The sequence below is a fragment of the Homo sapiens genome, chromosome 13, assembly GCF_000001405.40.
Source record: "Homo sapiens chromosome 13, GRCh38.p14 Primary Assembly".
Lineage (NCBI taxonomy): Eukaryota > Metazoa > Chordata > Mammalia > Primates > Hominidae > Homo > Homo sapiens.
In genome coordinates this window covers 77,595,767-77,619,726 of record NC_000013.11, presented here as the reverse complement: position 1 = coordinate 77,619,726, position 23,960 = coordinate 77,595,767, and the positions used below count along the sequence as shown (strand labels likewise).

Here is a 23,960-nt window from a genome sequence, read left to right as displayed (position 1 = left end):
ATGCCACTATAAAGAAAGGGCTCTACTTAACAAAGATATTTCCGTACGATTCTCAGCAGGAGGGTCCACTGTTATTTCAGCTTTTAGAAAATCCGCATGCAGCAAGTGTTTTCTTTCCTCACTGTCATTTTAACAATAATCCTCCAGAATAAATACATCTGATCATACTCCTTTAACTGTGTATGAGCAGAAGAGGAGCATAGGGAATATGAAGAATGGAAAGAAGAAGAGAGTCTGAGCTGATTTAACCACAGATCCTTTGTTTTTCCTCTAGGTAATGACATCAGAAGTCCCTGAGTTTAAGTCCAGGGTGTACTTTCTTTCTTGAAAAGGTTATTTAGTACCTTTGAACTATAGTTTCTTCTTCTACAAAATAGGGTGCATGAATAGATTTCTCATGGGATTGTTGTGAAGATTAAATGTACATGAATTGCCAGTCACATCCTGGGTGCTGAAGAAGTAACAAAACAGCAAGAAGAAAATATGATACTCAGATAGAAAACAAGCTAGGAGATGTAAGAGTTAGGCCAATCATGGATTATACTTTCCTCTTTCTCCTAATGGGTTCAAAGTACTTTGTCATATGTTAATTTCTTTTTGTCCTTTCAGAATACTGGACTACTATTTCCAGCAATGTATTTATTATGACACAATTTCAGGTCAGCAGAGCAATTTGGACTTCTGATACAGTGCACTCTTTTGCATTATCTATTACTTATTATCCATTAATAAAGCAGTTTATGTGAAAGATATCAAATAGCAAATTATAAGATATCTTAAGAGTGTAAAATGGAAGCTTATGGTTAAAATTGGTAATATTTTGTGGGCCCACACTAGCTGTGGATCTAGGATTTTGAAGATCATGAATATTCTTTCCAATGTTCTACAGACATGCATTCTAATGTTTTACAGACATCCACATAAACCATTAGTTTGGTTCAACTTCTTCAAAATATCTTTTTTCCTTATTTAATTGTATTCATGTCTTTCATTTCAGTCCTAAAACTCTATTTTCTGTAGACAACAAGCACTAAGTTGTTTTAGTGCAAATAAGAAGCCCAGAACTAATTTCAAAATAGTGCGATTGATTTCAGAAGAGTGCAGTATGTTTCCTTGTTTCCTTGTTGACAGGAGTCACATGGGATGGGTCATAAATGTAGCCTCATTTAACACACCAAAGAAAACTAAAAGCCTTCAAAAGAAAGGCAGGAAGGAAGAAAGGAGAAAAGAAGAAAAGAAAAAAAGGATAGGAAGGAGTGGTTCATGCCTGTAATCCCAGCAATTTAGGAGGCTGAGGCAGGAGGACTGCCTGAGCCCAGAAATTTGAGACCACCCTGGGCAACTAGTAAGACCCCATCTCTAAAAAAAATTTTAAAAAATTTGCTGGGCATGATGGTGCACACCTGTAGTCCCAGTTACTCAGGAGGCTGAGGCAGGAGGACCACCTGAACCCAGGATTTTGAGTCTGCAGTGAGCTATGATTGTGCTACTGTGCCCCAGCCTGGGTGATAGAATGAAATGGAAGGAAGGAAGGAAAGAAAGAAAAAAGGGAGGAAGGGAGGAAAGGAGTAAGGGAGGAAGGGAGGGAGGCAGGGAGGCAAGGAGGGAGGGAGAAGTTCCTACCCTAGAAACTTGTAAACATGTCAAGATAGTCAAGGTCATTTACCGATTAGTGTTTCTAAGAGCTGAAGGTTTCACTTTAATAAGATTGTCCAAGTCTTGGCTGTTTAAAAGAGAGAGAGAAAAAAGTTCAGATTGGTAATAGATTTTGGGGTTGTGCTAGGTCAATAAAGCAACATTATAAATCCACTTCATCCAGGGCAACAGACAAATAAAAACATGAATTGACTGCTTCTATATATACCTCTGATTGTTTCTGATTACTGCAGGATTTACTTTGATGAGGTTAGCAAGATCTTGGTTTCTTTAAATCAAAAAATAAAATGAGAGCAGGTTAATTTTGAAGTTCTTTTGGTAATATCATTAAGGTTATAAATCTGCTTGAAGTAATAATAAAACTTAATATTCTTTCTGACCCAAGTACATTAAAACAACATAGTTTTATTACCTTTGGTTGTTTGTGAAAATTTCAGGATTCACCTTGATGAGTTTATCAAGATCTTGTTTTCTTTAAGTGGAAAAAATATTAAAGCAACTTGGGTTAGAGATAATCACAGGTTTAAGGTAATTGGAAATGGATAGAAAGGATAATAGTATGAGACATATTATTTTAGTATTGACTAACTATGAAATACGTTTTCTAACCAATTTAGGGGATGAAGAATTATGCTTTATCAGAAGAAAACTTACTCTAATTTCATACATTTTCTTGTCAGAGCCTATCTACAAGGGCAGGCTGGTTAAGTCACCATAGCAAACATCTGATAACTGACAATTGTTCATTCTTGAATGTATTAACATTATGAAGATACCAGCTGATTTTAATATCCTTATTTTTAAAATCAGGTTCACCAACTAAGGACATCACTTTTTTAAAAGATAAACTCTAAATTGAGGATTATTCTTCATATAAAGCTTAGCAAAGACAGGTCCAGCAATCCATCAAAATTGTGACTTTTCTTCCCTCTTTGATGGCTGAAAAACTGAATTAAACTCAGCTGTTCATAGTAAAATGAGTTACATACTCTGAAAACTGTCCGCTCCCATTTGAAACTCTTCCTGTTTCTCTTCTCAGCCACAGAACAGTGTTTCCTCTTATATAGTTTGCTATAATTCACTGCCTCAGCATAACCCCTTGTTTTAAGGGTGGGAAAGTAGTGATTTTTCAAAGTGTTCTTCTGAACTGATTTTCATACTTATTCAGAGAAATACATGGCAGTTGCCATGGCAAGAGACTGCAGAACTGACAAAACCTGCTTCCAGTACCATCTGGGAAACAATCTAGATGTACCTCTCACCACAACAATGCTTTTTCCTTATATAAAAATAAAATACATTTTATTCCTCAAAAAAAAAAAAAAAAAGGATGCAAGTTTAGGGACCAAAAGAGCGTCATTTAGAGATGAATCATCAGAAGGTCTGAGAAAAGGTCTGCATTTTCTTCCCCAGCCTTCAACCTTTCAATAGAATGTTCAGGGCTTCATTTAGTTTGATTTATTCTTCATGGTTCTCACCTCTCCATAGTCTATGGAAAGGCTCTAACTGAATTTTCACTGTTTTGAGCTTTCTTCTATGATAATATTTTCAATTGAACATAATAAATTGATATCTATAAATACTATTAAAAGAATGATTGATATATTAAAACTATCCACAACATAATCTCCTTATGTAAATTGATGGCAAAATCTGTCATAAAACTAAACTGTGTCAGAAAGACAACAGTCTTTAAAATGAGGTTAATTTCACATATTATTATAAAATACAAAGAATAAAACTTTGTAGAGTGGACAGTATGCTCAAAAGCCACACTTTTAAAAAAATATAAAATTAATCACAATATTGGTTAGTGTAACCACAGATAATATTTATGTGTCAGCATAATTAAGAGTAAGTAACATAAAAAAAATCCACTAGAACTTCCATTTTCACTGTCCTACTGAGCACAAAAATTTAATTTACCTAATAATCTAGAACAATGATATTCTAACCACTGTTACATAAAGCCCAATAAGAAATACATTTTACATCACAGCCTAATACTGTCTTTTACAGACAGCCACACACACACACACACACACACACACACACACACACACACAGAGAGACATAAATTTTATGAAATAATATTCTTACTACCTAAGAACTCTCATATTTTCTATTCAGTTCATTCTATTAATTTAAGAAAAAATGCTGATTGCCATTCACTAAATTAATGACAAGACCCTTTAATGAGTTGCAACCCACATTTGAGAAACATTAGCTTAGAAAACATAAATATATGCTATATTCTACCACCACTCCTATAAAGGCAACACCATGTGTTAATAAAACAAAAATCTCAGGAACAGTCCTGAATTGCCTTGATTGATAGCATCATGCAATTTTTGAAAACAACAAATATGTAGATTTTTTTCAGGCCCTAGATCCTGCAAAACATGCATGTCTAAATTTTATCCAGGAAAATGTAACATTTTTTCTCTCAAGTTACTGTTTTTATTTATTTAGCTTTAAGAATGTAGTAAAGGATACATTAGGATATTTAGGTTATTATTACTTTCATGCAGTTTAAAAGCTGTAAAGTGTTTTGCAATCATTTGCACATTTGTGCCATTGTAATCTATGAAGTATTCTTTCAAGTAACCCTGTGAGAACAGTAAAAAACACGTCCTGGCCATCCCACAGCAAGAGCAACACTCCTATCTTTACAGCCTTTGCTATTTTCCAAGGCGCTTAATTAATTTTTATATATTTTAAGATCAAAGTCTGTGTGCTGTGATGTAAAGACTAGGAGTTGGGCTGGGAGTTAGAAGATCTCACAGATGACTGTGAGATTTTTGCCCCTGGTCTCAGTATTCTCATCTGTAAATGAGGAGATTGAATTGGATAATCTCCAAGGCTCTGTCCATCTCCAAACATCTCCTCCTAGGACTCCATGAATATGAATTTTACTGCCTCTGTGTTTATTAATTAGCTCTTCAATATGTCTCCTTTTTAAGAATGCAACTCATGGACAATATATTCTATATTCAGCAAGCAGTACATGAGTGCTCCAAAATGTAATATATTAAACTGACAACCTATTATTGTCTTGGTGTAACATCTCTGTGCCCCTGGTACATAATTAGCTTTAATCTATGTTAATTGCCTGCTGTTAATAAGATTGACTATGTCTACTGAATTCTCTTTTTGGCTTCCACAACCTATAATTATACCTAATGTACAAGTAATGATACCTAGTTGTAAGCTGTGAACCCAGTAGGTGCTCAGTAATTATTCACTGCCTAAGAGATCATAGAACTACTATCAGTCTTCCACTAATTTTTTCTGTGGCCCTGGTCAAATCACTTAACCTTTCTGAGTCTTAATTTCCTCTTCTGCAAAATAAATAGATTCATCTGGAACATTGGTTTTCAAAATTATTCAAACTACTGGGCCAAGATATCTTAAGGTTCATTCCCTCCATCTCTAAAATTTTACAATTTGTATACGTACCAACAAAACTTAAAAGGGGAAATCGTAAAACCATTCTTAAGATATATTTATATATAAAACAGTAATGTGTAATGATATTGTCTTCATTTAACCATAGACAAAAAGTGAGTTTCATTATCTCACTGACATTACTTCAAGAATTATTAAACTTTAGGTCCATAACCTTGCTGAGCACAGTAAATCTCTAAAGAATAATGAACCTCATAAAATTTCCACTGACTACCAGAAAACTCTTCTAAAATGAGGTGAATGATACTGCTAATGATTAGTCTAATGGAAGTGTCTAGGTCTTTTTTTAAAAATTAACTACCATTAATAAATTATCATCAATTTCAAAGACAAAAGTATTAATTTCAATACCACACAAAACAAAACAGCAGCAGCTCCTAGACTACCTATGCTCCTTCCTGCCCATTTGTCCAATCGCTCTGCTCAATTCCTTTACTGGAGGCTTAGAGAAGAGAAAGCACCGCCATACATTGTTTCCAGCTGCCTCTCTTTCTTGCAATTAACAAATACTGAGACATCTAGGTTTCCACCTGTGATGATATTTTGAGATTTATATTCAATTTGCCCATAGAATAATTCTAAATCATTTCTATTAATTTTGGGTTTACTTAACGAGAAACACAACAAAAATCACATCCATCTCTTACCCATCAGTGTTTTTGACAGCTTTGGGGCTGACATTAATATGTTCATCAAGACCTTGTTCACTGCTAAAACAAAATTAGAGGAAATCGGCAAATTTCATACTGGCATTTCTTTTTTGTTTTGACAGGTGCAAGTCATTCAATAGAATCCTAGTGTAAGAACTCATAAGTTTACTGAGTTTCCAATTTATATATATTAGTTACCATTTTTTTAATCCTCACAACAACTCAATGACATCAATATTAATACCACCGCCCCCACCCCCACAGCCTTTATAAACAAAGATATTGCATTTCAGAGGGATTAAGGCACTCCCTGGGGCCAGATACCTAAGTGACTGAGGGTGAACCAAAATTCCAACCACAGCAACTGGACCCCAAACTCCACACTCCTTTCCCCAACACCCTCCCTCTGTCTCATGTTCATAACAATCCCTTACATCCACACAATGCTTTTCACCAACATTATCTTCACAATAATTCAATGAGTGATAGCTTGGGGTTTCTCTGCCATGCTTTTATTAACTTTTGTCCAGTGTATAATGGATCTTAATTTCTCAAGAACAGAAGTAAATTCAATGTCATGCAAAAAATATTCTAATCAAGTATAAGAATATTATGTTGTCAGTTTTTTCACAAGTCATTTAAATATTAATCCCTGTGTTTGTGAGAGAACAGAAAGCCAATATTTACTGATTTGTTCAGTTTTATGAACTTGTAATTTATTAACTATGAACTTATGGTTATAATCTAGTTATGCTGTTACTGTGTCAAAGGAATTTCTAAAGTAGTAATTACACAGAATTAGCTTCAATATTATAATTTTCTACAATAATATAATGAAATTAATGAAAGCAATAATAGACAGAAAAATCTATCCAGCATTATTACACATCAACTTGTTCTCATTTTTTTTCATGTCCCCTTTCAAAATGTCTTTAGTTAAATAATTAATCTTATTTTGGGGCATAAATTGGTGACTTGCTAAGAAGTCTTCAATTATCTTAATAAGTTTACCTTTTGTTTGCTGAAGGGATCACTTTGATAAGATTTTCCAAGTCTTGGTTCCTAAAAAAATGTTAAGTTTCAATAGCTAAGTCAACTAAAATCCAATAATTTGTATATTTTTTCAACCTTAATATTAATCAAATGACCTGCTAATTTAAAACTTCATCTATACTTAAACTTTTAGCCTTATGTAAAAACAGGTGGCTACTATCAATTCATTTCCTGCATACATTTGTATATATGATAATTTAATTTAGTTTTATTTTTGTTTCTTTCACGTTAACCTCAAAGCAGAATTATTCCTAAACTCTTTATTTTACATACTTTATCTGTGTGGCAGAATTAAACCATTTATAATATTTTCTGGAGGTTACAATGCACGAGAGAAAATATAAAATTATTCATTATTTCCATATGTTCCTTGCTCCCCTTCTTCCAAAACAAACAAAAACTGAGATAATTTGTAAAAAAAAAAAAAAAAAAAAAAAAAAAAAGAAAAGAAAAAAGCAGTTATTTTCTGATTCTAAGTTATGCAGGTAATATATACAATATAAATATGTAATATTCACACTACCCCAAGATATTAAATCAGTTCAGAATCACACTTCGTGCAAAGCTGAATTAGCACAAGCAAGGCCTCAGTTTATAGAATTTATGTTTTTATTGTAAACACTCACATAGGCATTCATAGCTCTACAGAGATGCTGCTGTTATCACAGTAATGATACCAACCCTAACACCAAAAGACCTGAATAGGAAACCTAATTTGTTACACTTTATTATTGGATGATATGTTATATATCCTGGAGAGAAAATAATTGGAAAGACTTTTAACTAATCTTTAGGACTAATCTATAGGTTCATTTTATCATGTGTGTATCCTTCCATGTAAATTACTATATTCTATTACATTGAACTGTTTAAAATTGCCATTTTGTTGGTCAAAAATAATTGAATGTCAGTAATTTCATAAGATTCAACATCCCAGGAAAATTTATTTGCTATCTTCTTCACATTGAGTAGTGCTATGGGGATTTAACAATGAAGAAAAAATTTTAAGAGTAATAATAATACTAACAGATAATGTCTAATAAGCACTTGAACACTAAGTGTTTCACGAGCATGATCATATTTAATTTTTCTAGAAACTCAGGAAGAAATTAACTCTTACAATCCTGATTTTACATATAAAAAAGCTGAGGCTTAAAGGAGGTTGAGCAATTTGTCCAAGACTACACAGCTAGCAAAAGGTTCTCTGAAGTAAAAAATCTCACTACCAAGTAAAAGAAATAAACACACAACCAAATGCAATACATGGCAGCATGTGGCTACCAAAATACAGCCTCAAACATTATAAAGGAAAGGCCATGAATAATCAGGCCATCTTCACCTTTAGAAACTAAGTCATCTCGGGAGAGGGAAAAGGCAACTGTCTTTCACTGAATCTTAATGTGTAATGTAATTATATGGTCTCTGGATTTAGTGTCTGACCCTCAACAGTAAAAATAAAGTTGTATTAATATATGCCAAATCAGGGGGGTGGTAGGCTGTATTTCAGAATCCACTTCAACTACAGTCAGATTTGATTCTCTTCACACACTCAAATAAAATACTGTGTAGTCTAGGGGTCAGCAAACTATGGCCCTCAAGCTAAATCCAACTTGCAGCCTGCTTTTGTAAATAAAGTTTTATTGAAACGCAGCCATGCCCATTTGTTCACAAGGTACTTATGGCTGCTTTCACACTATTGGCAGAGATGACTAGTTAAAAACAGAGACAATTTTGTCCCTGAAACCAGAACTATTTACTATTAGCCCATTAAGAAAAAGTTGCTGACCTCTGATCTAGTCTAAATAAGCTCTGTTTGATAGCCACATACTGTAAAATAGACTGTATTCCAATATGCAAAATAAGATAGGAAATCTGCTGAGAGAAGATATATATCTTGGTATCTTTTACATCTAACTCATGTTCAAATTCATATAACAATATACATTTACAAGCTGGTGGTTTTGTTATGCCTGTTTATTTACTTAACATGATATGTCTTAGAGAAGATTCTTTCTATATAAAAGACAAATGTCATTCTTTTTTCAATGAACTGAGAATAATTTTTTAAATGACTTCCCAACTTTAAGAGTTGTTTGGGTGGTAGACAATAAGAAGAGAGGTAATACATGATGGAAGAAGAAGGAGGAAGAATTTTTTATCATATGAAGACCTTTCTTTAGGCTACTTAGATCAGGGAAATTGTTTGGGGTGATGTTTTGTCTCATGGGGAATCCCCATTAATTTTTAAGGAAATCCTCAGCATGGAACACAATCTCATACTGGTAAGAGATCATTCCTGTCTTTCAAGGAATTCTCTCTCCTGTGGCCAGAGAGCCTTCGGTAAGTGCTTGAACACTAGATTTCTGACACAGGATCTGTTGATTTGGGTCCCATCATTGGTTGTCTCTATGGCGGGACAATGCAATTTATCTTTTTTTTTTTTTTTTTTTGACGGAGTCTTGCTCTGTTGCCCAGGCTGGAGTGCAGTGGTGCCATCTCGGCTCACTGCAACCTCCACCTCCTGGGTTCATGTCATTCTCCTGCCTCAGCCTCCCGAGTAGCTGAGACTACAGGCACCCACCACCACGCCCAGCTAAATTTTTGTATTTTTAGTAGAGACAGGGTTTCACCATGTTAGCCAGGATGGTCTCCATCTCCTGACCTTGTGATCCTCCCGCCTCGGCCTCCTAAACTGTTGGGATTACAGGCGTAAGCCACCGCACAATTTGTCATGTTTTTAAGCTCATTAGGAAAAAAAAAGGGGGGAGAAATAGAGAGTTCCATAAACCTTACCCTTGGTTAGTTCTGTTTCTTTCAGGAGTCACTTTAATGAGGCTGTCGAGACTTTGGCCCCTTAAAAACATAGAAAATCAGATCAGTGGTAGATTTAAATCGAATGGTTTCAAGTGTTTGTTAAAACAGAGAAATACTTTTATTATAAAATATTTATTAAAATAATAAAATTAGAGATCATCTCAGAGGGCTGGGGGTTTTCAGTGTTGACTGTGAATATACATATAGGGACCTAACTAAAACTGGAGAGAAATAATGAATAAGAACTTCTAGAAAATGTTTGATGTCCCAGGCCAGGCACTCTTCTTAGTGATTTACATGATTTGTCTAATTTAATACTCACATCAATCCTATGACATAGGAAGTATTATTATTCCAGTTTCATAGAGGGAATAACTGAGACACAGAAACCTTAAGTAATTTTCCCACATGGCTAGTGGTAACAGAGGTGGGATTTAAAGCTAGGTAATCTGGCTGCAGAATGCCTGTGCCTTACCATGACACCAAATATCTATTGGAACTTAGTAACTGAATTAGATTTGGGAGTGTTGGGAGAGCTCCTCGTGCAATTTCCTCACTTTGAGGATGAGAAACTGAAGCCCAAACAGAAGTGACTAGTTTGAGCACACACAGGTAAGAGGAGCAGAGACAGGCCTAGACCCACAACTATGGGGTCCGGTCTAGTTCTCTTTCCCCTCTACTGTGTCATCCATCCCTTCTGCTTAAGAAAAATAATAAATCAATGAATAAAAATGTCCAGTCCATCCTGGGAAAACAACTTTATTCCTGATTAGTCAAAGAGTAATTGTCTCATTGTATCAGAAATTGGTTGACCAAAATTTTTAACATTTCAGATGTGAGGTAGCAGGGTTACATGGCTTTTCTTGAAGGATCATTGGGTTCAGCATCAGTCAGCTGAAATGATGCTTTAATTATACTTTTAGGCATTGGTTACTATGAAACAAAAAAGGGAGCTTATTAAATCTTACCCTTCAGTACTTTTTTCTGTTCCTGGATACACTTTGATGAAGTTATTAAGGTCTTTGGAACTTCAAACAAAAAAACAAAAAACATCATAAATAAAAATGGAATTAAATCAATTGACTGTTTTGATTTAAAGGATACATGTACTCAAGATAAATTTTACTACTGAGTTTTGAGATAAATTGATACCAGTCTATGCTCTTAATTTAAAAGACTAAAATTTGTGACCTTCTTACCAATCACTGGTACACTGACGTAGTTTCTCATTTACCCCCAAAATAAAACCATATAATTAGAGCAAGACGCCATTAAAAAAAATCAGTTAATGAGTGACATAATAATCTGCTAAAAATTCTCACCTGGTTCCCCTAAGCATTCCATCTAATGCTATAGCTATAACTAAACTGTTTTGTTAATAATTTCCATTTGTAATATCCTTTTTTAAAAAATGGATTTTATACCCATTATTTCATTCATTCCTAACAACTATCAAGTGACAAAAAACAAATATTATTATTATTTTGGCATGGTGTTTGGCTCTGTCGTCCAGGCTGGAGTGCAGTGGCTGGATCTTGGCTCATTGTAACTTCCACCTCCTGGGTTCAAACGATTCTCCTGTCGCAGCCTCCCAAGTAGCTGGGACTATAGGTGCACTCCACCATGCCTGGCTAATTTTTGTATTTTTTATAGAGACACGGTTTCACTATGTTGGACAGGCTGGACTTGAACTCCTGACCTCAAGTAATCCGCCCACCTTGGCCTCCCAAAGTGCTGGGATTACAGGCGTGAGCCACCGTACCCGGCCAAACAAACATTATGATCCTCAGTTTATAACTAAGGAGGCTGAAGCTCAGCATTCAAGGGACTTGTTCAAAGACACCAAGCTGGTAAGTAATGGGGTTCAGCCTTTCTGATCCCAATCCAAAGGTTTTTCAACACATCTTCTTTCCTGAGTGCCACAAATGGATGGGGAAGGGGAAGGAAGAGAGGTAAGACATAGTCCTCACCCTTGGTTACTTCTCTTTACTTCAGGGGTCACTTTGATGAGATTATCAAGGCTCTGGCCCCTTTAAAACATTGAAGAAATGGTTAAGATTGACAACACGTAACAATGGTAGACTGACAACAAGAAGATAAAGCTATTTCATTAAAACTCAGAAGCAGTGTAAACACTCATTGAGATCATGCCAAGGAGTTGAAGACTGAAGATTGTGAAAGGTGACTATGCAGAAATATGTAGGGATTTGTACATCTCTGAAATTCATTGAGACTCAGGGAGACATTATTTTAGTCTCAGAGCCATTTGGCCGCTAGCAAGTATTGCACTAGGATTCTCTCTACTTTTATGCACTAAATGCTATAATTTTAGCTTTTACCAGGTGCACAAAACATTTTTGTAACTTAGTCTATATACTTGTTTCATGAAGCATTCCAGAAGGCATACTCTTTATCAACCTCCAACATGTAGAACTTTAAAACCAGCTTTGGAGAATCCATATTTTGTAAAATTGGCATTCATTAGCAGATTTTTCTATCACAAAACTGTATTAAGATTAATACACCAATTTGTTAAAAATCTATGATATGCAACCCAGTAATTGCTTCTGGTACTTATAACTGTGTGTTAGAATTATGAATTTTGACTAGTTGTTTTTGGCAACAAACAATAGGAATATTAAAATCTACAGAGTTCTGAAACATTCTGAAATGTAAGATATATCAACTGTAATATCTTACAGTAATATCAAGTGTAATATAAAGCGCAACACTCTGGCTGGGCATGGTGGCTCATTCCTGCAATCCCAGCATTTTGGAAGGCCAAGGTGGGAGGATCGCTTGAGCCCAGGAGATCCAGGCCAGACTGGGCAACATAGCAAGATCCTGTCTCCATAATCTTTTTTTTTTAATTAGCCTGGAATGGTGGTGCACACCTGTGGCTCCAGCTACTCATGTGGCTCATGTGGCTGAGGTGAGAAGATCCCCATGAGCCCAGGCTTTTGAGGCTGCAGTGAGCTGTGATTGCACCACTGCACTCCAGCCTGGGACACAGCAAGACCCTGTCTCAGAAATAAATAAAATAAAATAAAGTTCCACACAGTCATCGAAAACATTTTAGTAGTTTCTTGTTACTCTTTAGTATACCTCGGTTTCTGATCTTAGTGGAATTTTGCTTTTCTCCCTGCATCTACATGTGTTTTCTGCATACCAGTAGCAGCAGTAAATGCTGCTCTGATCTACAGAGGATGCCACATAGGGAAAAGAACATCCACAGGAAGGCCCTTTTGCACTGCGTCTCCATACTCTGTGACCCTATTAAGGCCATGTCCAAAAGCCCCAAGGTTTTGTCTATACAACATCAAAGATACAGATATTTGGAAGCAACTAGATGCTGATTCAAGTCTTTTATTTGTATCCAGATGTCTGAGAATGTGATATACAGACTCAAAGTAGCAATAATTACTTTGAACCTTTGTTATGCAAATAATGAAACAATTAGCCCCACAGAAGCAATCACTCTACTCCAGATTACTCCTTGTTGATTTCTGCCTAAATGAAGTATGTGGGATTTGAAGGCCAGTGACTGAGAAAAATAAAATTCCCAGGATGCTATTTCCAGACTTGTGTATTCAAAAAAATAACAAAACGGTAAGCATTACAACCCTCCCTTTGTGTTGGTTGTGGGGTTTGCTTTAACTATATTTTTAGGACTTGATCTCTTTAAATTTTAAATAAAGCACATAATAAAATAAGGTTATTTAAATCTCATAGTTCATAGAGTCCATAAGGACTACGCATACGCTCACACACACAGGTACATACACATCCATGTACATATGCACCCATATACACAAAAAAGCACATGTGTATATTTACACATATGCTCATGAAAACACAAGCATTGTGCATACATATGCAATCACACATGCACAACGTACACACATGCAATGCACACACTCATGTACATGGGAAATTACATATGCATATAGACACATACATGTAGACATGCACATGAATGCACACATGCACAAAAACATTTGTATGCATGCATACACACATAAGCATAGGCATGCCCACATATACACACACCAACATATGAAGAAAAATAAGTCCTGATTGGAAATATTATTATTTTTTCAGACAGAGTCTCACTCTGTCGCCCAGGCTGGAGTGGTGGTGGCACCATCTCGGCTCACTGCAACCTCTGCCTCCCAGGTTCAAGCAATTCTCCTGCCTCAGCCTCCCGAGTAGTTGGGACGCCCAGCTAACTTTTTGTATTTTTAATAGAGACAGGGTTTCGCTGTGTTAGCCAGGATGGTCTCGATCCCCTGACCTCGTGATCCACCCGCCTCGGCCTCCCAAAGTGCTTGGATTACAGGCTTGAGCCACTGTGCTCGGCCTGGAAATATTATTTTTAATAAAAATTAGAAAAGGAACATGGATTTTTCTTGGCAAGTGGAAATTAAATATTTGAACACTAAATTATGATGAAAATATAATTCACCTGAATCTTTATTGTTGCAACAATTACTTGTATCTACTATGTGCCCGGCATGAGAATCTTATGATCCCTCTTTTGTAAATGAGTAAATTGAGGCACAGGGAGATAGTCAGCAAGTGATAGAGCCAGAATTCGAATATAGGATTTTTGGATTCCCTGCTCGCACTGACTACCTCAGGTTACCTCCCTGAACCACCCAGGTACTGAAGGAAATCAATGTTTTCTTCTCCTTCTATGGGTTGCAAGCTTGTGCAAGCCTTGAATTCATTGGGTCGCGGTGCCTCTGACCATGCCACACCTACACAAACAGGGCAGGCATGATAGTGTGCACACCAGCTTTTCAACTAACTGAGCCTTTGCCCTCCCAACTGGGCCTGCAGGCATCCATGACACATGTTAGAATCAACAAATAATATTATGAACTGAGCTAACTGAATGGAAAGGAATTCAAGGGAAACTACATGCAATTGTTTGTTACTGTTTCCAGCAACATGCCAACAAATTCAGTTTCAAAAATATTCCATCTGCCTTATAAGAAATAAAAAGCAAGAAGACATAAGCTCTCCAGACTTACTTGACAACTCATGGGTAAGAACAAAGCACACTTTGTTAAGCTCTTCATCTTTAAATACACACCACACTACATGCACATACACACACTACACACAAATATCCCACACACACGCATGTAGATCATACATATACACATCCACACATGCATTTATACATACGCACACACACTTATACACACACGCATTTATACACACATGCACTTAAATCCACATACTACTGATACACATGCACATACACTCACATACACTACTTACATCTACATACATATGCACTTACACATACATACATGCACTTATATATAAACACACTACTTATATATTCACACACATACACTAATACATGTACTCACACTAGCATACAAAGAAATAAATCATTTAGTTCAGTAGAGAAGGTCAGCCCAAATTCCCATTTAATTTCTCAAAATTATTTGATAACAAACTTTGCCCAAGAATAAAATGCAGGAGATTTAGGTGTATCACTTGCACAGAATTACTTACTATGAAGTGTTTAGAGAAAAAAGAGCTCAGTTTGTTTTGGCCTGAATTCCAATTTACTGTCCTGAATACCAACACTCAGAATTCTAACGTCCTTCTAAATGCCAAACAAAGGGGAGGGGGGAGCTTTAAATGTCTTACCTCGTAATATTTTTATTTGTTTCAGGATCCACTTTAATAAGCCCATCAAGGTCTTTTTTTCTTTGAAAAAGGAAATTAATTTTAATGAATGATGTTAAAGTATAGCACTAATCAGATGAATAATGGCTGGAAAAATTAAGAAGTGGTAAATATACAAGTTTTCTATATCAATGTAAATTTTTAAAGCTCTAAAAGAAAATGAAAATATTCTCTTACAACTTGAGCTGAAGACCATTTAATGTTGCTTATTTGTTAGTAATAAATCTGATTTTTTGTTTTGTTCTCAGAATACCTAAGTATATATGAAACTTGTTATTTAACAAAATCAACTTTGCCTTCAGATACATCTTGTTAGAACACTCCAAGCAGGCAGCATTGAAATAACAATTAAGTTAGATTGAGTTCTACACTGGACCCAGACAGTATAAATTTCTACTCAATAAACTGGATACAATTGCCTATTCTGTTTTAAGTAGTAAGAATAATGTTGAGAATCATAATTTCATAATAACAAGAATTTAACAATATTAACTAAAAGAATAAGAACGTATGCTTTCATATAAACTCAGCTATCTACCTAGCCCAAACCCTTTTAAATATCATTTCCTTCAGAGTAGATCATGGATCATGGTGAGCAAAAAAGGGCAAGAAAAAACAGCTCACGTAGTAGAAAAATTAATGATTCACTCCCCAGGGGGACACAGGCCACCCCATTAAAATACTTTGATATCATAAAAGGCAGCAGCAGAATCTAAAAGGGACAGGAGGGGAAGACAGAAGCACTGCGATTGGGTGCCACTGCCATGTCAACACAGCTCTGAATAGGAGAAAAAGTGGTGGGAGGTCCTCACTCCCCCTGTGTGTGCCAGCCCAGCCTCGCCTGGGCTGTCTCCTGAGACCACCACCCTTAGAGGAGCTGAATTACCAGAGCTCCAATGATGGCTCACTCTTGGCCACCTCTGTCATTTTGGAAATACACTTTGAAAATTTTGTCAAGACTGTGCATTCTTTAGGCACAAAGAAATTCAATTCAGTCACTTACTCTGAAGACAAATCAAAGCCCAAAATCTGGGCAAAAAGGCAATTTACTATCAAACATTAAGACAATGCTCCAAAAGTTAGTGGTTTTATTGGGGATAAGGAGGGATGGTCGTGTGGCCTATCTTTATTGTCTAATTCCATGCTAATAAAACACGATTATGAAGCTAAAAAGCCAAATTATTTTATCTTCTGATTGACACTTAACAGAAACCATAATTAAAGACATTAATTATTTTTACCCAGTGGTATTTTCATGTCCTTTGGGATTTACTTCAGTAGCATTATCAAGGTCTTCACTTCTTTAAAAAAAAAAGTTTATATCAGTTTCAAAACATTCCCATAATATTAGACACATACATCTTCTGTATTCCCAATGATTAATTCAAGCTTTTGGAGAAAATTATTATACTGACATTAAATTGGCTTTAAGTATAAAAATTGCCAATCAATAACATAGTTTAATTAATCCTTAGGATTTTATTGGGCTATATGTAAATGTAAATTTAGATCGAATATACTGTAGATTCTTTGAAGTGAAGATCAGGGCACCAGGGATTAGACACAGAAGAGAGAAGCCAAACAAAGATGTGGTGCCCTCAATATCACATAATTAATATGAGAGAAAATAACCAATATTTAGAGACATCTGTTCAGTTCTCACCTTCTGCTCGTTTTATTCATCCTGGCATTCACTTTAGCAACAGATTCGAGATTTTGTCTTCTTTGGAAAAAACACCAAAACTTGTCAGTTAGGTTACAGTACAATTTTCTCTGAAATCTGTATAATCAAGAATGTCCCTGAATGTGGTGTCAGGTGTTTTCAGGACCAAATGACCAAAAAGAGCTTTGATGTAATTATCCTTAACTTACCTTTAGTAATTTCCACAATAGCATTTCATTTAAATGTGTCTAAATCAGTTTAGAAAGGCTTCTCAATGTGGCTCTCGCTGTGCAATTTTGTCCTTTATATTTCTTAATTTAAATTAAAATTTGACTCATCTCTTAATTATTTAAGAAAATACGGAATAAGAGATTATGTAGCAGGTTTTCCTGCACCTACTTCAATGTAACTCAAATCAGAGGTCCTATGAAACAGCACTCAACATATTCCTTTTGCCTACTAGGTCTGATGGGTCAAAGCAGTACAAGAGTTCACTGCCACAAAGGAAAGCATAACACTCCCATTCCTAATGAGGTAAAAAAGCTAACCTGAATAAAAAGAGCTCCATCAAGGTAGGAGATTGACTTACCCTTTCTCATTTTTGTCAGTCCTTTGATTAACTTTAATCGGACTTCCAAGGCTTTGGATTCTTTACAACATTGGGGGAAAAGAAAGAGAAAGAGAGAGTGAGGCAAGAGCAACTCAGTGATATATTCAGACTCTCGTAATGACAACAGCAGATTTCCCACAAGAGAATCTCATAAGATACAATCAGTGCCTAAAGGATCAGAAGTCCTTGGAAATACTGAATTCAGGTGGCTCTATCCATCATGCAAAATGCATAAGCAGCAGCCTGAGACTAAGATACCAACCATTACTCAGTTATGATGGAGTCAACTTAAAAGTTTTAACCAAGGCTTTTGCTTTCTTGGAGGTGGGTTGGTGGGAGGCTAATTTTAATACGTATATTGAGATACTGTCTTATTTAAGCATGAAAATCATTTACATCAGGGGTAGAAATCAATTGATCAATATTTTAAGTCTAAATACTTTGAGAATTCAGACAAGTCATTTCTCTTAAAAAGTTAGCAGATGTGTTTAAAGGGTCTGAAGTCACCTTGGTAAAGTCAAAATAACTGTTATGGTCCCAGCACTTTATATAAATGAAATAAAACTTTCACATGCTAATGATTAAAAATTATTAGCGAATATGAAAGCTAATCTCTTTAAATTCCCCCAAGCTTCCAAGTATTATGCTTTGCCATTTTCATCTCTCTGATTTCTCTGTGATAAGACTGTTGACATTTTAAGTTATTTCAATGTGAGAAAGAAGGAAGGGAAGAAGAAAAAAGAACTAGGACTTTTTCCCTACCATGCAGACAAGATCAGTTATTCCTGCACCAAAACTCAGTTGTTATCAAATTATCCCAGATTATAAATCTTTTTCCCAGCCCACAAAATGATCTACTTAAGATGCACATCCTACTTGTCCTTTTGTCTACCACTTTTGCAGAACTCTCCAAACTGTTTTTGAAAAATATCTGGAACCTCATCTATTCCTAGAAAGCTCATATAGCCATGTACAAAAAAAAAAAAAAAGAGACTGTTTTTCAACTTCATCTATTCCACATTTTTAAAAAATTGTCTATAATATGTTGGCATGTTTACATTATAATCATATGTTATTAACAAGCCTGTGTGATGGTTACTGCCAATGCTTTTCATCATGTAGACTTTGTTAAGTGTTCTACATCATAAAGGGTTAAGAATGCATCGCCAAGATTGGTTTGGAAAGCTAGAATGCCATTCTGGGCATAGATTGGCACAGATAAATGGTTTTTAAAAATAACTGTGACAATAGAAATAATTCTCATGTTAGAAAGGCAAATTTCATGACTAACCAAATACAAAGTAAACAGCCAATCTGGAAGGCAAAAATAGTAGAGATCTCATAAATCCTTGCCCTTTGTCATTCTTGACTATTCTGGGATTTTCTCTAGTGAAATGGTCACGGCTTTGGTTTCTTTCAACAAGAAAAATAATATCAGTCATGTAAGTCAATTATCTAGTATATCAGTCAGGCTAGAACTATAAGGCAACCTCTTAAATGCTATCAGTTCAGTTACTAATCATCAATTAACCCATTTTATGATTTAAAATAAATAAAAGCATAGCTTTTCATTTAAAGGTATTTACAAATACGTATGAAGAGATATACATATGAAATGACCCAACTAAGATTCCAACTGAGAAGTGCCTTTATACACTCTAAAGACTTCAGTGGTGGCCGGGCGTGGTGGCTCATGCATGTAATCCTAACACTTTGGAAGGCCTAGGTGGGCAGATCACGTGAGGTCAGGAGTTCAAGACCAGCCTGGCCAACATGGTAAAACACCATCTCTACTAAAAATACAAAAATTAGCTGGGCGTGGTGGCGGGCACTTGAAATCCCAGCTACTCGGAAGGCTGGGGCAAAAGAATCACTTGAACCCGGGAGGCGGTGGCTGCAGTGAGCCAAGGTAGGGCCTCAGAGCAAGACTCTGTCTTAAAGAAAAGAAAAAGAGAGAAAGAGACTTCAGTGGTGAGGGGCTATGCTCCCAGCACCTAAATGCCTTAATATAAATGTATTTAGTTCATAAACCAACCTATTCTCCACTACTTGTAACAGCTAGTTGTGTTTCTTTCCATTTTAGATATGAAGGGGAACTGGGAGATCATCTAGGTCATATCCTTCATTTTATGGAATGAGGAAACAGAGCTCTCCAGAAATTACACAACTTGCCCAGGGTCACCCAGATTGATGTTGGTGGCAAAACCAGCACCAAGATACACACTATCCCTGGACCCCAGTCTAAGGCTTATTCCACCAGCCTGCCTGACCCTTGTACTAAGCAGGAGGTCTCCTCCAGAAAATAGTACACCATCTGGGACTCAATCAAAATGGTCTGTCTTAATAAAATCTTACCCTTTGCCATCTTTATCTGTCCGGGTACTCATATAGATGAGACTTTCAAGGCTTTTGGCTCTGAAAACACAAAGAAATTCACATAAAAGGCTGCATACTGAAATGAAATTGTGTGGTATCTTGAAAGGTCAAATGCAATAAACATTCTCCATGAATTGCTCATTTACTCTTATTGAATGGAAGAGCAGAAATCCTTCTGGGTAATTATGTCTGAACTAAATGTACAATGCTGAGAGCACTACCCCATCTGCCAGTACATTTCCATGCCAGAGGATACAACCCCCTTGCAGCTAATGTCTGAGGGAATAAGACGAGCAATCTGCAAGGTAAGATTTTCATATTTGAGACAGATGCACTTACCTTTTCTCTCTTTCTTCTACCTTTGGATTTGCTCTGAAGAGACTATCAAGACCTTGATTCCTTTAAATGTATTGATTTAAAAAAGCCTCATCAGTGATAATGACCAATGCTTAACTCTATAAGAACATAGACCAGTTTACATCTAAGACAGGAAACAGAAGCTTGTTGGGGAAGATGAGCTACAATTCTTGAAATAGGTATATTCATAGACTCAAATTTTAAATTGCAGTGGGCCTTAGAGAAAACAAAATAAAAGATATAAACTGGGGATCTGTCAACCACAATAGGTCTATAGAGGTGTTACTTGGATTCATGGAGCATTTCTACCCTTTTAGCTTTCAAGCGTGGGCTTTAAAGTGAGCCCATGTTACAATGATGGTCAGGACACACAGAAACCTGAATTTTCAGGCTAGGTGTAGTGGCTTATGCCTGTAATCCCAGTACTTTGGGAGGCCAAGGTGGAAGGATCACCTGATCCCAGGAGCCCGAGACCAACCTGGGCAACATGGTCTGACCCCATCTCTACAAAAAAATTAAAACTTAGCCAGGCATGGTGGTGGTGCCTGTAGTCCCAGCTACTTGGGAGGTTGAGGTGGGAAGATTGCTTGAGTCCAGGAAATGGAGGCTGCAGTGAGCTATGATTGTATCACTGCACTCCAGCCTGGGCGACAGAGCGAGACCCTGTCTCTAAAACGAATGAACAAACAAACAACAAAACTGGATTTTCAGGATCTCCTGAGAATGCCCTGCTGTCCTGCAACACTAGACTCAGTGGAGACCCTCAGCTGGAGCTGAGCTGAGAAGCAGCTGTGTGCTCAGACAGGGCATTTGCTCTCCTTTTGGCCGCAGTTATCACAGTCAGTCTCCTCACCCACTCACACCTGCCTGGTCTCAGCGGGCCGTGGAGTCTGTGACTCCTGATCTAAAACCTCCTCTCCTTGTAAATGAGGAAACTGAAGAGCAGCAGATTAAGTGATCATTATTGCCAGAACAGGATAGGAAAAACACATCTCGGGATCCTCTGATCAATGAATTCATTTGGCATTTCCCTGTTTTCTCCTTCTCTTTGATCACTGTTTAGTGGGTTAGTATGCAAAGTAATAGAGAGCTTGCTTACATTATACTTACCACAAACACAAGCCTTGATTATTCATTTTTCTCTCTTGGCATATTTCAAGTTATACAATTATAAATGATTCAAAACAAGAAGATACAGCCTGGGCAACATAGTGAGACCCCATCTCTACAAAAAATTAAAAATTAGCCACACGTGGTGGCACAGGCCTGTAGTCCCAGCTACTTGGGAGGCTGAGGCAAGAGGATGGCTAGCGGCCAGGAGGTCAAGGCTGCAGTGAGTTATGATTGCACCACTGCACTCCAGCCTGGGTAAGAGAGTAAGACTCTGTCTCAAAAAATAATAATAAACAATATAACATTAACTATGATAATAAAATGTTTTTTGTAATGGTTAAACTAAAATTATTCCATGATCAAACCAAATTCTGTTTACATTTTAGTTAATTAATATTTCAGGAAGAGAAAAGTGGTTATTTATATAACTGCCTTAATAAACAAATGGCGTATGAAAATCAAGAACACTTTCATATTAGTATCTTCAGACTTTAATAACCATTCATCATAACAATGAAATGATGATGATTGCTGCAAGCTTTTATTCAAGATTTGTAGGATATTTTTGACTACCCTGGTATGTGGGTCCTCACGCTCAAAGACTGGAAAGGCATAAAAAGTCACAATATGCAACTCAGTAATAAAAGATAAACATTTAAAAATCTTACCTATTCAAGCTTTTGTTCATTTTGATGAGATTATCCAATTCTTCACTTTGGGAAGAGAAAAAAATGTTTAACATTAGTAAAAAGCTTGCCCAGGGTCAAAGGGTAAATTTGCCTTAAAATGACAGTTCTCTGAAATACAACACATCCCACTTTTATCATCTGCGAAAATCCTGATGATCCTCAAAGCTCGCATCCAACACCACTTTCTCCAGAAAGCCTTTCCTAGTCCTCTAACTGAATAGAGTCCTCTACATTTTTGGAGCCCTTGCAGCATTTGTTTTTTCTGCACCTGCTTTATGACAGTTCTGTGACTATACTTTGAGTTATAGCCATTGCACACTGGTCTCATGTTAATGCTCCTACCTCAGCACAGGCACACATATGCACACCACTTAAAATTTAGAACTGTATTTTACATCAGACACACTTCTGTGTTTTAATACAGTGTTCATACAGTAGATACTTAATACCCACTTTTAATTGAGTCCACACATAGGTACACTGATTAATTACAGCATTGTGCAATGTACTTGCACACGTAGCTTCTAGAAAACATTTGTTCATCAGTAAGTCTGGCTTCCTTCTTGAGCTCTGCTACTTCATTTCCAGGTCAGCTAAATTTGCTAGCCTGTTTCCACATTTGACAACTGCAAAGCCTTTTCTGGCTGCTGCTTCAGGAGCAACCTATTTAAATACTTAGGTTCAGGAATTCTATTTAAACCACATGGGTTCAACTTTCTCCCCTAAGCAGGCAGCCTAGGTGAGGTGGGGTGGGGGTTTCACCACAGTGCTATTGGTTTCTTCCTCTAGTTCCCTGTCACAGCATGTCCTTTCTCCAACTTTTCTATTCATGACCTACCCCCGACCACACACACACACACACACACACACACACACACACCTTGCCCCACCTCTCTTGCCTTCCTCAGCAAGTTTTTCTGTTCACAAATCAGTAGTTACGCATTCAAGTTTCCTTGTTAAGGACACATGGAGTACGATCCAGGACTCATCACTTATTCATTGGTGAATCTGGGTGAGTTACCTAACCTTCTGTGGACTTAATTTTCCCATTTGTAAAATGAGAATACTAATCATACCCACCTCAGAAAAGATTCATAAGCTCATGAATATAAAGTATTTAGCACAATGCCTAACAAGTCATAAATTCCTGATTAATTTGGGCCATTATAATAAATAATGCCCTGTCATTACTAAATTTTTTGTTTAATAAATGCTTGCTATACTTTTTTTTTTTTAAGACAGAGTTTCACTCTTGTTGCCCAAACTGGAGTTCAATGGCATGATCTTGGCTCACTGCAACCTCCGCCTCCCAGGTTCAAGCAATTCTCCTGCCTCAGCCTCCCAAGTAGCTGGGACTAAAGGTGTGCACCACCATGCCCAGCTAATTTTTGTAGTTTTAGTAGAGATGGGGTTTCACCATGTTTGCCAAGCTGGTCTTGAACTCCTTACCTCAGGTGATCTGCCCACCTCAGCCTCCCAAAGTGCTGGGATTACAGGTGTGAGCCACCACGCCCAACCTAGTAAATGCTTGCTATACTTATTTTTTAATTGCACTTAGAAACACCAAGACTTCGACTTAGCCTTTAGAGAGAGATGCAATTGCTAAGTCACTTATGTGCTTGAAGATGCCTGGCACGATGACACTATAGCAAGAATAGCTGCTGAGGGTAGTCCTCTTAGAGACCCTAAATTAACAGCCAGTACATAGGTGAATCCTGTCAAGTAGTTTTAGGTATCAATGGTAGAATTGTTGCCTGAGAATAAATACTGAAATACAAAAGTTGCTGCCTCTAACAACAACA

General features: G+C 36.6%; 1 protein-coding gene and 1 long non-coding RNA gene across 27 annotated transcripts in view; one reads left to right on the top strand and one right to left on the bottom strand.

Moving 5' to 3' along the window:
• Positions 1-23,960, bottom strand: part of SCEL (sciellin) — a 109,558-nt gene that overhangs the window by 25,537 nt on the left and 60,061 nt on the right. For 6 of the 25 annotated variants that reach the window (NM_144777.3, NM_003843.4, XM_006719884.2 and 3 more), the window contains 15 exons: positions 22,138-22,182; positions 20,339-20,398; positions 19,979-20,038; positions 17,603-17,662; positions 17,014-17,073; positions 16,592-16,651; positions 15,312-15,371; positions 11,612-11,671; positions 10,610-10,669; positions 9,621-9,680; positions 6,786-6,836; positions 5,772-5,834; positions 2,069-2,128; positions 1,865-1,924; positions 1,667-1,723 (listed from right to left, as the gene is read on the bottom strand). In NM_144777.3, coding sequence (NP_659001.2) covers positions 1,667-1,723; positions 1,865-1,924; positions 2,069-2,128; positions 5,772-5,834; positions 6,786-6,836; positions 9,621-9,680; positions 10,610-10,669; positions 11,612-11,671; positions 15,312-15,371; positions 16,592-16,651; positions 17,014-17,073; positions 17,603-17,662; positions 19,979-20,038; positions 20,339-20,398; positions 22,138-22,182 — 876 coding nt within the window. The remainder of the gene's footprint in view (positions 1-1,666; positions 1,724-1,864; positions 1,925-2,068; positions 2,129-5,771; positions 5,835-6,785; positions 6,837-9,620; positions 9,681-10,609; positions 10,670-11,611; positions 11,672-15,311; positions 15,372-16,591; positions 16,652-17,013; positions 17,074-17,602; positions 17,663-19,978; positions 20,039-20,338; positions 20,399-22,137; positions 22,183-23,960) is intronic. The other 19 variants (XM_011535286.2, XM_047430712.1, NM_001160706.2 and 16 more) reach the window with 13 other exon arrangements.
• Positions 13,176-19,972, top strand: SCEL-AS1 (SCEL antisense RNA 1). Of its 2 annotated transcripts, NR_126412.1 has the most exons (4): positions 13,176-13,250; positions 15,337-15,456; positions 17,477-17,585; positions 19,707-19,972. It is a non-coding gene; the product is annotated as an SCEL antisense RNA 1 (long non-coding RNA). The 2 variants fall into 2 exon arrangements; NR_126413.1 differs by lacking the exon at positions 15,337-15,456.